This window comes from Homo sapiens, chromosome 7 (genome assembly GCF_000001405.40).
Source record: "Homo sapiens chromosome 7, GRCh38.p14 Primary Assembly".
Lineage (NCBI taxonomy): Eukaryota > Metazoa > Chordata > Mammalia > Primates > Hominidae > Homo > Homo sapiens.
The window spans coordinates 123,488,191-123,501,329 of NC_000007.14; the positions used below are offsets into that span (position 1 = coordinate 123,488,191).

General features: G+C 35.3%; 1 protein-coding gene across 12 annotated transcripts in view; it reads right to left on the reverse strand.

Annotated features, from left to right (window-relative positions):
• The window catches only part of IQUB (IQ motif and ubiquitin domain containing), an 82,403-nt gene that overhangs the window by 35,998 nt on the left and 33,266 nt on the right, over positions 1–13,139 (reverse strand). For 11 of the 12 annotated variants that reach the window (NR_104245.2, NR_104244.2, NM_178827.5 and 8 more), the window contains one exon: positions 8,506–8,716. The exons of the other annotated variant lie outside the window; for it this stretch is intronic. Coding sequence is in view for 9 of the 11 variants with exons in the window: in NM_178827.5 (NP_849149.3) it covers positions 8,506–8,716 (211 nt within the window). In the remaining 2 variants the exon portion in view is untranslated. The remainder of the gene's footprint in view (positions 1–8,505; positions 8,717–13,139) is intronic. 12 annotated transcript variants of the gene reach the window in all.

Sequence of the window (13,139 nt, forward strand, 5' to 3'; positions counted from 1 at the left end):
ATTATCCGGGCGCGGTGGCCGGCGCCTGTAGTCCCAGCTACTCGGGAGGCTGAGGCAGGAGAATGGTGTGAACCCAGGAGGCGGAGCTTCCAGTGAGCCAAGATCACACCACTCCACTCCAGCCTGGGTGACAGAGCAAGACTCTGTCTCAAAAAAAAGAAAAAAAAAAAAAAAGAAAAGCTGAGCTCACAAGAAAGTACAGTAAACCCCTACAGGTCAAATAGCAAAATCAGGAAGGTAGAATCCGTGGTGGGAGGTAGGTACTGACAGCTTCAAGAGCCCTGAGCACATTTGCTAGCAGCTGCTTCCAAAGGCAAAGGGCCTAAAGGCCATGGAAGAAGTGAACAGATGAAAAGGTCTTGAAACTTAGAAACGTAAGAAAACGTGACTGAGTCCCTACTCCCATCTTCCACCCTACATACACACAGAATCAGGAAACTCAAAGAGTCTACCTTCAGTACACTCAAAAAATACCCACAGGCCAAGAAAGAGCAATCAGTATGAGGCCTGTTTGGGGAAAATTGCCTTACCCCAAGCCTTGCAAGAATTCCAAACAAATAAGAAAAATATTACAGCTCATATAAGTTTGCAATGCAATGTTTAAAAATACTGAAGAGAGTTCATATATCCACCAGAAAACATATATAAGAAATATTAATCACAATTTTATTCATAAAAGTCAAAAATGTTGAAGTAACATTTAGCAACTGGAAAATGAATAAATTGTGGTTATATTTATACAATGGAATCCTATGTGGCAATTTAAAAGAACTAGTCCTATAAGCAACAAAATGGATGAATCTCAGATATAACCTTGAGGCAAAGAAGCCAGAAATAAAATATACTACAAAATGTATGAAATGAAGCTCAATAACAGGCACAATTTATATATGGTGATAGAAGTCAGACTAGTGGTTACCTTGCAGGAGTGGAAGTGGGATGCGGACCTATGTATAACATGAGAAAACATTCTGGGGCATAAATATATCCTACCTTTTAGTAAGGGTAGTTGCTATATATATGTCTGCATATGTAAAAAGTCATAAAGCTGTACACTTAAGCCTTGGCATAAATCCTATTTTGATATAACAGAGAACCATGGTAAGAACTCATACTCCCTGGAATAGAATAATTGGAACTCTGTGAAGTGATGTGCAGGTTTTCCTTTACAGCTAAAGTCATTTACAATATGTAATATAGAGTAGGATATTACTCTCATATTTTTTAAATATGAAGAAAGATACTACATGAGTAAAAATCAGCAGGAATGTAGACTTCTCAAGAAATTCAGATAACAAAGTTATTTTATTTAAAACTATAAAATATATACTAAAATGGAAAAAATATTAAAAATATAATAAACTTCAAATGCATTTGAAAAATGCCAAATAAAACTTCCACATATTATGTTGATATTTTTTCATTTAAAACTTAGGAAATAGGTTAAACAGGAGTTTAGAGAAGCTCTGAAAGAAAATTAGTATGCAAAAAGATACATATGAAGAAACTGTCCCAAAAGCAGCAAAAAAAAACATAAGAGATAAAAGTATAAAATGAAAAACAGTGTTAAAAATGTCAACATATATCTGCTAGGATTTTCAAGATGAAAAACTAGAGAGAATGGAGAAAAGTTAATATCAGAGATAGTGGCTAAGAATTATCCAGAATTTATAAAAATCACATATTCTCAAGCACATAATGCAACAAAATTCCAAGGAGGATGAAAATAAATGAAGGGAAATTTAAATTCATAATAGTAAACAGATAAGTATAAAAAAGAAATAAATCTTTAAAAATAATAAGAGGAGCAAATATAAAACAAACAGTGAAAGATGACAAATTTATATCCAACCATATTAATAATCACATTAAATGTAAATAGTCTAAACATCCAAATTAAAAGGAAGAGATCATCTAATTGGATTTTTAAAATAAGATCCAGTTATATGTTGCCTACAAAAAACACATTTTGAATATAAAGACACAAAGAAGTTAAAAATTACAAAATATAAAAAGATATACTAAACTAACAGTGATCAAAAGGAAAATGGAAAGGACATATCAATATCAGGCAAAGTAGATTTAACAGCAAAAAATATCATAAGGAATAAGGAAGGTCATTTAAATAAAGGACTCAATTCATCAACAAGACATAGTAATGCTAAATGTTTTTACATCTAATAAGAAAGTTTCACAATACATGAAGCAAAATCTGATAAAATTGAAAAGACAAATAGGAAAATTCACAATTACAGTCTGAGATTTCAATACCCCCTCACAATAACTGATATACAAATAAATGGGAAATTTGTAAAAATAAAGAAAATTTAAACAACATTATCAATTAACTTGATCTAATGGCCATTTATTGATCACTACACCCAACCATAATAGAATGCAAATTCTTCCTACATGCACACAGAATATTCTCCAATGTAATTTGTATTCTAGTTGTTAAAATAAGTATCAATAAATTTAAAAGAACTCAAATTGGCCGGGTGCATTGGCTCACGCCTGTAATCTCAGCACTTTGGAAGGCAGAGGTGGGCAGATCACCTGAGGTCAGGAGTTCATGAGCAGCCTGACCAACATGGAGAAACCCCATCTCTACTAAAAATACAAAATTAGCCGGGTGTGGTGGCAAGTGCCTGTAATCCCAGCTACTCAGGAGGCTGAGGCAGGAGAATCGCTTGAACCCGGGAGTCAGAGGTTGTGGTGAGCCAAGATCATGCCATTGCACTCCAGCCTGGGCAACAAGAGCAAAACACCATCTTGGAAAAAAAAAAAAACAAACAAACCTCAAACCTCAAACCTCAAATTATACAAAATTACATTCTCTCATTACAATAAAATTAGAAATCAATAACAGAAAGATATCTGAAAAATCCCCAACTATTTAGCAATTAAATAACCTACTTCTAAGTATCCCATGGGTCAAGAAATAATCAAAAGGATAATTAGAAAGTATTTTGAACTGAAAGAAAATTTCAACTCAACATATCAAAATGTGAGGATGCAGCTGAAGCAGTACTTAAGGGAAAATTTACAGCACCAAACACCTATAATTAGGAAAGAAGAAAGGTCTCAAATCAAATGACCTCAGCTTCCACCACAGGACTAGAAGAGGAGTAAACTGAACCAAAGGTAAGCATAATGAAGGAAATAAATAACAATAGAAATTAACAAAATGGAACAGAGAAAAAGAACTGGGAAAAATCAGGGGAAGAGTAATAAAACTGATAAATCCCTAGGCAGACTGATCAGGAAAAAAAGAAGGAAACACAAAATTACCAGTATCAGTAATTGAGGTAACATCACTATAGATCCTATAGGTATTAAAAGGATAACATGGAACATTATTAACATCTTTATGCCAATAAATCCAACAACTCAGAAAAAAATTACCAATTCCTTTAAAGACAATAACTATCAAAGCTTACTCAATGATAAATAAGTCACATGAATACCCCTATATTTATTAAAGAATTGAATTTATAGTTTAAACCTTCCCACAAAGAAAATTCCAGACCTAGTTGGTGTCACTGTTGAATTCCTAACATTTTATGAAGAGATCCTACTAATTCTACACGAACTGTTTTAGAAAATTGAAGAGCACAGAGGAGATTAGCATTATCCAAATACTAAAACCAGACAGTAACATAACAAGGAAAAAAAAGTCACAGATCAATATCCCTTAGGAATGTAGATGCAAAAATTCCAAAACAAAATTTTGGCAAATCAAGTCTGACAATACATAAAGACAAGGCATTAACAGGGCCTTTGGGGATGTGATTAGGTAATGAGGGTGGAACCCTCATGAATGGGATTATTGCCCTTATTAAATAGACCCAAGAAAGCTCTTCATCCTTTCTGCTATGTGAGATCACAGTGAGAAGGCACCATCTATGAACCAGGAAACAAACCATCCCCAGACACTGAGTCTGCTGGTGCCCTTGGAGTTCCCAGACTTGAGAACTCTAAAAAATAAATTTCTGTTATTTATATATATGGCATTTTGTTATAGTAGCCTGAATGGACTACGAACTTAACAAAGATACAAAGGCAATGCAATGGAGAAATGACAGTGTTTTCAACAAATGCTAAAGGAACGACTGGATGTTCAAAAGCAAAAAGTTTAAACATTCATCTCAACACATATCTCACATCTCATACAAAATTTATTTCAAACTGGATGTTATACCTAAATTCAAAATATAACACTATAAAACTTCCAGAGCACATAGGAGAAAAGCTGTGTGACCTTAAGTTTGGTGATGAGTTTTTAGGTATAACACCAAAAGCATGATTCACACGAGAAGAAACTAATAGGACTTATTGAAATTAAAAACTTTTGCTCTAAGAAAGACACTGTTAAGAGAATGAAAAGACATGCCAAAGACTGAAAGAATGGAAACCTGCCTGAGCGGGGAAAGGGTAGATCCTCTGAACACACCCTCACCTCTCAGTTCCTTTCCTCACCACTAGCTGCTGTTTCTCTTCTGTACTCCTTTGGGAGATGAGTGAATGAGAAGGGGTAGTTCTTACTCACCCCACTCTCCAGGCCTCTCAGATGATTCAAACTCACCATCCTGAGGATCTTGAGCTGAACCGCAACTCCCCTGGCCCAAGACAGATGTATCTGCACTCTAGGTAGCCACTTAGGGATAATCTAGCTGTTCACTTCAAGCTTCTTTCTGACAAGATCCCTTCACTTCTATAGCTGGTCCTATTAAACAGGACCAAGAGCACCTCAAATTGCCCTGTTGCAGGCTCAATCTCTCTTGTATTCTCTACTGTATAGTCCCCTTTTGATAGAAAACAAAGATACATCTCTGTTTTAAAAATCCTGGGAGTGCTATAAATAATGCGGCAGCACTCTCCAATATCAAAGAAGTCTGAAAGCCCTCCTCTAGTTCTCTAGGTTTCTTTGTTTGGACTCAGACCCCAGTCTACCATCCTGGTCAAGGTTCAGGCAACAATCCTCGTTGTCCCCCAAACACAGGGAACATTTCCAAGCTCACCAGGAATACTCCCTTGAAGCTCCTTTCACTAGGCATTTGGTCAGAAAATAACACAACCTACCCACCCCAACCCCAAAGCATAGCAATGGCTCTCTCCAAAAAAAACCTACCTTACTAACCTCTTCAAATCTCTCCTAGCCCTTCTTATATGTTTTATCTTGCTAAGTGACCCATGAGCCAAGAAATAGGTCCTATTTTACTTGGTTTGTAAATTCTTTATGAGGGAGAGAGAGATTGACTCTCATTGACTCTGGTATCCTGATATCTCACCTATTGGAGCCTCAGTCAAAAATAAGGCAGGGTGATAGCACCCTCCAGAAGGGCTAAAATGAAAAAGACAGAAGCGTCCAATGTTGGAGTGGATGACAGCAATTAAAACTCTGATACTCTTTCATAGGAGTTTAAAATGGTACAACCTCTAAAAAACCATCTGGCAGGATTTGCTAAAGCTGAATTACGTATATCCTATGAACCAGCAATTCCACTGCTAGGTTTACACCCTGAGAGAAATGTGTGTGTATGTGTGTGTGTGTGTGTGTGTGTGTGTGTGTGTGTGTGTGTGTGCATGTGTGTATATATACATATACACAAGTAGTACTACTACAAACATCTTTTGGTGAATATATATACATATACACATATTTGCCAAAAACTAGTTGGGGGGGCAGGGAGGAGGGGTGGGAAGGACCAAATCCACAGTAAAATGGATACATAAGTTATGGCACATCCATGCAATGGCATACAAAGGGCAACTACTCACAACAGCAAGGATCGGTCTCATGACATAATATTGAATTTTGAAAAACAAACAAAAAATTATATTCTGCATAATTCTGCCTATATAAAATTTTTAAATAGACAAAACAACCCCAATTATTCTATTTAGAATATGGGATACTTAGCACCTTTTTTTCCAAGTAATGGCCCTAGTGACAATTCAGAACGATAAAAGAGATCACCCTCAACATACTGCTATAAAAAGACATGAAAATCAAATATTATTGCCTGGAGATAGCCTCCTCTTTGACATATTACCTTATACAGCTAAGTTTATTTTCTTAAATTAATATCATTTTGCTTTTATTACTGAAGAACAGACTACCTCGAGGAAAAGTTAAGTTTCATATTATGAATTATAGCTCAAAGTATACAATTATCATTATGAGCCACAAGAGGGCAGCAGCTCCAAGGAATGGAGTTATGAATATGAAATGAAGAAAATTACAGAAGAGCAATATAAATTATTGAGCTTGTAAACCACAGATTTTTTAACAGAACTTAAAAATTATTATTCCAAGGCTTTTAATTTGGAATTTTAGAACTAGAAAAACCCGAAAGATGTCTCTTTTATATAAGAAACTTCATGGATTTCATTTTCCTCCATATATAAATCATATGTGGACTTATATAAAATATATCTGTTCTACTTTAGTATGAAAATTCTGTATAAAATCATTTGCCATAGAACAATAGCTCGCATATGTATAGGTCCTTGTACTTTTTGAAATACTTTCATAAATGTAATATTTTATACTTTTTACTCTATTAAGCCCTCTGAAGTAGACAGGCCAAAAATTATTAATTCCTTTTGATAGATGAAGAAATCGAGGTTTAGGATAAGTGAGAAACTTGTCCTAATTAACACCACTAATAAGTAGAACAGGCAGAAGCTCATTCAACATATTTTCTATTATTTTGCACAGTTGTCTGTTAACCACACAAAGATAACAATGGTATCCTTTAGTCACATAAGAATTTAGAATATTATTTTAACAGAGCTCTGCTCTAACAGAATGTTAGTTTTAAACTTGTCAATAAGACCTTTCATAGATACCTGGCTAACGATGTTCTCTATTGAAGTACTGACACTTAATAATCTTTGTTATCATCTGACAGAAAAAATGGAAGTAGAAGTGAAGTTTAAAGTAAAATAAGCAGTATTTCCAGAGGACAATGATTAGGATAAAATGGAAAACAGACACACAATTCTAGGGAGCAGGCTTAACAGTTACCTCAAATACTACCATAGTAGTTGTAAATATTTACCATAAGCTATAAATATTCCTAAAGCCACTCAATTTTTACGTTACCAGGAAAATGAATTTATTAATATTGTTTATTAGCCCTAATGTTTAATTATATTATTTTTGGTAAATAGCATATTATCTTATAGCTATAAAAAGACTCAATATCTGATGCTTAAAAATGTAGCCAATTAGAAAGGAAACTGCAACTTGAGGAACAGAACATATAACATCCACAAAAAAAATAGTATGTAATGAAACAAACAAATGGAAGAAAATTTGCTTAGTGTTATAAATAATCAGAGAGAGGTCAAAAATTTATTTCCTTGGACTAAAATATCCCATTCAACTACAAAAGCCAATTGAGGCTATTTCTAGGTTTTAAATTTTTCTGTGTCTTCATAAGGGTCTAATTTCTCCACTCTCAGATATCTGGTGTATTAAGTAACTCTTCTGCTCCAGTTATTTCCACCTTACCAGGTACTGCTGGCAAAGCAGAAGCTAGAGACAGTTGCATTAGTATAACCCTGGATTTCTTCCTTTCATTCATTCATTCATTCATTTTATGAACATTTGTTGGGCATATGAGCTAAGCACAGTAAAAGGCAGCTCATCAAAAAATAAATGAATTATTCCCTCATGGCAGAAATAAATGTTAAACAAAAGATGTATTATTACTAAAGAAATAACTGAGACTGAAAAAAAGATGTAGTATTACCAACTGTGGTGATAAAAATGAAAAGTTTCAGGTGCAATGAGGACCATAAGATGACAAAAGAATATCCAACTTATGTTGTCATTCACAAAAACCTTTAAGCAGGTGACATTTAACCTGAGATCCAAAGGTGGGCAATGGAGAAACACCTCCAAGAAGGGGAATCGTGTATCTACTGCCTGGGTAAAGAGTGCCTGGCTTGTTCAAATAACTGAAACTTTTAATTTATCCATGACTAGCACACACACTGTAGAAGAAATAAGGTATAAAAGTCAAGGTGTAGAGAATATACATTTATATAGTATTATTAATAAGGGGGAATTTTAAAAATATTGCCAAGCCCCTTCTCTAAAGAGCAAAATCAGACAGGATGCTGGATTGAGGGATTAAAGAACAGCTCAACTCTGAGTTCAAAATTCCCAAACCACAAGAAAACTAGATTACACAGTACTTTCTCTCTTTATCTCACATGAATGAGGATCAAATGAAATAATATACTAAAACTGCATAATTCACAAAGCAGTATGTACATTTTAATTGTTAATATAAAAGCATTTCTAATTTCATTTCAGCCTTAATTCTTATTCCAAATATAAAGTGGTATTCATCTTTCAAAATTCTCTACTGCAAATTTCCAAGACATCTCCCTAAAATAATAACACCTTCCTTTTGTCTGCAGTAAATCTGTTTTTCCTATTAATGAAGAATTTAAAAATATTTTTTGCAAAGCCTGTGTCCAACTTACATTCTAATGCATTATAAAGAAATTCAAAATCTTCATTTGTTTTAGGATTATGCCTCCGGTGATAGTCCAATTTTATCCATTCTTCTTTTTCTCTTATCTTCCTTAGTTCTTGCTGTGTTTCCCATTCCAGTCTTAAGCTTTTCTGTCTTCTTAAATTCTCTACGAAGATTTTAGCATGCCATTGCCTGTAGTAAGTCTGTATCACTATCACCTATAGTTAAATTAAAAGGAAATAGAAAGTGCCTATCATCAACTTTTTGATCAGACAATAAAGGCAATGATGATTATTTCAATTCCAATTCCACAACAAAATAACTGAGTCTAGTTTTAGCTCCAAATACATATTTTCACAAACACTAACATAAAAAACATGTATAATGCATGTGACTGCTATTTGACTTTGACATCTCGCAAATATACCTTCCCAGAAGGATGTTTGTACGATCCTTAACAGAATAGACTCTGGAGTAAAACTTAGTTTGAATCTTCCTTCTGCTACTCACTAGTTGTTTGATTGGATAAGTTACTTGCCATCTCTATGCTTTAGTACCCTCATGTGTAAAACAGTGATAATAAGAGTATACATATAAAGTGCTTAACCCAAGCCTGGTACATCATGAGTCCTCAATAAATACTATTATTGTCATACATATTAATTATCTCCATCTTATCTTAAATGCCACTAGCTTAGGCTCATGTTTATAACAAAACTGTGTTTTCCTAAATACACATCAGGTAGGTATGTGTGGAAACCACCAAAGGCAGGTTAGATAAAATGGAGACTGAAGCAAACAAATATTTATTAACTTGTATGAAACATGAATATGTTTGAAAGTACACCATAGTACTAAACCCTCAAAAAGTTTATGATATAGCTGAGAGAGTTTATCATTTTTTTCTGAGAGTTTATAATTTTATTTATTAAACTCATAAATAAAAATAAAATGTGAAGAGGCCGGATCAAGACTGATGATAGAGCTTATGCTGATGCATCCCTTACTCTCATCCTAATGCCTAATAATTGTAGAAAAACTATGTAAAGCAGATATCGACAAAGATACTAGATCAAACTGAAGGGGTCCCCCAAAAGAATAGAAACTTTGAAGAATCCCTTCAACAAAAGAGGCCAGTAGAATTAATTGAAGAAAGAGTCTGTAACCTAATCATGCACTGGAGAAGCAAGTCAGAAAAAACAAGGGGCTCTAGGACTGCTCTAAGCCCAAAACTGATGGATGGTCTGAGCAGAGTGGCCACTAACCAGGTGACTTTAAAAACTGCAAAAGGGATAGGTTCCTCTAAAATAATTAGGCAAGGAGCAACAGAGATATTTGTCCCTAGGCAAGAGTGGTGAGTGTCCCAGAAGGTGACACCCAGGATGAAAAAAAAAAAGCCCCCTATCCAGAAAACTAGGTTTCTCCCATAATCAAGCTTTACATTTCCCCTAAAATCATGGGGTCAGACTGGGTGAACCAATATGCTATTGGCACACTGGACATTAAGAATCTCAAACACATCAGCGGCATCTAGAAAACTATTAGCAATGCAAATTTTCAGGCCCCACCCCAGAGCTATTGATCAGAAACTCCTGGGTAAGCACAGCATTCTATATATTCATGAGCCCTCCAGATGATGCTTATAGTAAAGTTTTAGAACTACTAGAGTAAATCAAAACAAAACAAAATACAAGAGCAGACTAGATATAGTTAATATTTTCACAGAGAAAGGAAAGGCTATCAGTATAAAATAATATAATGAACCAAGAAAAAAGACTGGCAAAAATTTTATTTTTGAAATTTAAAAAATTAATAGAATATGGATTAGCCTGAGTGCTATTAAACTTGTTCAACTTATTTAAAACACCAAAACACAGTTGTTTAAACAACACAGAAGTTTTTTCCCTTTCACATGACAATCCAGGGATTAGCAAAGCAGTTTAGGGCTCGTAGGAAAGCTCTGTCATATTTAACAAATGGCTTCCTACTTATATGTCCCAGATGGCTGGTCCACTTACCATCTTCCAACCAGTAAATAGAGGGAAAAGGAACAAAGAGCATTTTAAGAATGATAACTGTAAGTGGCTCACATTGTCCCTCACATCTCGCTGTCCAGATCTTAGTTATATGGCCTCACTGATACACAAGGGAAGTGATGAAATGTGGTCATCAGTGGAACAGCCACATGCTCAGATAAAGCTTTATTACAATAGGAGAAGGGAAAAAATGGGTATTGACAGAGAACTAGTAGTTTCTTGTAAGCTGATCTGCAGAATGTGTAGAACATAAGAAGTAATAAGTAGGTAAGAAAATTAGGTGAGAAAATCTTTTAGCATGCAGGACAAAGGCTCATAAAAATTTAAATGAATGAATGAAAAATAAGAGACACAAAAGATAAATCCCAGCATTCCAAAATGTTTCCTTTTTTTCTTTTTTTCTTTTTAGGCGAAGTCTCACTGTCACCCAGGCTAGAGTGCAGTGGTGTGATCTCAGCTCACTGCAGCCTCCGCCTCCTGGGTTCAAGTGATTCTCATGCTTCCCCTCCTGAGCAGTTGGGACCACAGGCACGTGCCACTATGCCTAGCTAATTCTTGTATTTTTAGTAGAGACAGGGTTTCACCAAGTTGCCGAGCTTGGTCTCCAACTCCTGGCCTCGAGTGATCTGCCCACTTCAGCCTCCCAAAGTACTGGGATTACAAGCATGTGCCTCAGCATCTGGCCTCATCCCAAAATATTTCTGAGATAAGTTCCAGATAAAATAAGGAAAGTTGATTACAGAAATTCATAAAAACATAATAGAGGTATATTTCCCACAGCAAGACATGGACTCTCGGAAAGGGTACATCACCAAGTCTCAAGCATATTACAATAAGATTACCAAATACCAAGGATAAAGTGAAAATCCTGACAGCTTCTAGAAAGAGGAAACAAAGAAAGGAGGGGGCAGAAAATGAAGAAAAGCCTAGTAAGGTTCTTGACTTATTCATGGAAACGATATATAGGCTGATTAGATATGCACTTGGTATAAAAAAATTAGTTATGTTAAAAAATGTGTATGAGTAACTGTCAGAGGCGTGTGAACCAGAGCAACTCCATCTTGAATAGGAGCTGGGTGAAATGCGGCTGAAACTTACTGGGCTGCATTCCCAGACAGCTAGGCATTGTAAGCCACAGGATAAGATAAGAGGTCAGTACAAGATACAAGTCATAAAGACCTTGCTAATAAAACAGGTTGCAGTAAAGAAGCCAGCTAAATCCCACCAAAACCAACATGGCGACAAGAGCGACCTCTGGTCATCCTCACTGCTACACTCCCACCAGCGCCAAGACAGTTTACAAATGCCATGGCAATATCAGGAAGTTACCCTATATGGTCTAAAAAGGGGAGGCATGAATAATCCACCCCTTGTTTAGCATATCATCAAGAAATAACCATAAAAATGGGCAACCAGCACCAGGCAACCCTCAGGTCTGCTCTGTCTGTGGAGTAGCCATTCTTTTGTTCCTTTACTTTCTTAATAAACTTGCTTTTACTTTATTCTATGGACTTGCCCTGAATTAGTTCTTGTGGGAGATCCAAGAACCCTCTCTTGGGGTCTGGATCGGGACCACTTTTCTGTAACATAACCACTAGAAAAAACAAAATACTTATTTCTGAACTATGAAAGAACAAAAAAAGAAACATTTATTCAAACCAACAAAAAGAAAAGGCTAAAAAAAGCATAAACAAATAAGAATAATTAGTAAATAAAACAAAATGAAATAGCAAGAATGAGTCCAAAAATATCAGTAGTCACGCAAAATATCATCTTTCTTGAAACAAGAAAGATTTAAAATAGTAAGCAGTGAACTCAAAACCTATTAAAAAAATAAAATAAACATGACCCAAGTAGAAAGGAATCAAGGTTAAAAGAACTTATTAAACGGAAATGTACTCCCTATACCGGCTTTTAACAAATTCCTCTGTTAACAGGTCACACCTCACTTCCACCTCCCACAGAACCTCCAATTCACCTTTCAAGACTCTATGGGGCAAATCTATTTGGTTCTTGATGCCATCCTCGTTGGCAGCATTTAGATTTTCACTTCCTCTGCTCTACTAAGTCAAGTTAACACTTTTCCATCTGCTTTAAAACTTCAAAAAAAAAACACAACTCACATTTACTCTTCTCATGTATTCTTTGTCCTTGTATATTTATACTTTTATTCTTTCAATATCATTTTTTGGAGTTTGGAAAATGACAGAAATTTCCATTTCCTTACTTAATATCCATTTTGCCCTACTTTCTCTTACTAAGATTGCAATCTCATTGAGGAGCAATGATATGCTACTTTAAAAATTCATTTATCACACACTTTTGCAGTAGGGATAGTCACATGACATAGTTCAAGCCAATGGGATGCAAGTAGAAGTCACTGGGTGGGGCTTTCCGGGGAAATCCTTGAAGGTGGCATTCATGGAACATGCTGCCTTGACTTTTCCCTTCTTCTCACATGGAATGCAGGCATGATGAAAGTTAGTCAACCATTTTATCTTCATACAGTAACAAGCTCATGATGAGCTTAATGGAGTAGAAAGATGAAAGGAGTTTATGATTCTGATGACATCATAGAGTCACCACCCATGCCCAGTATAGTAAG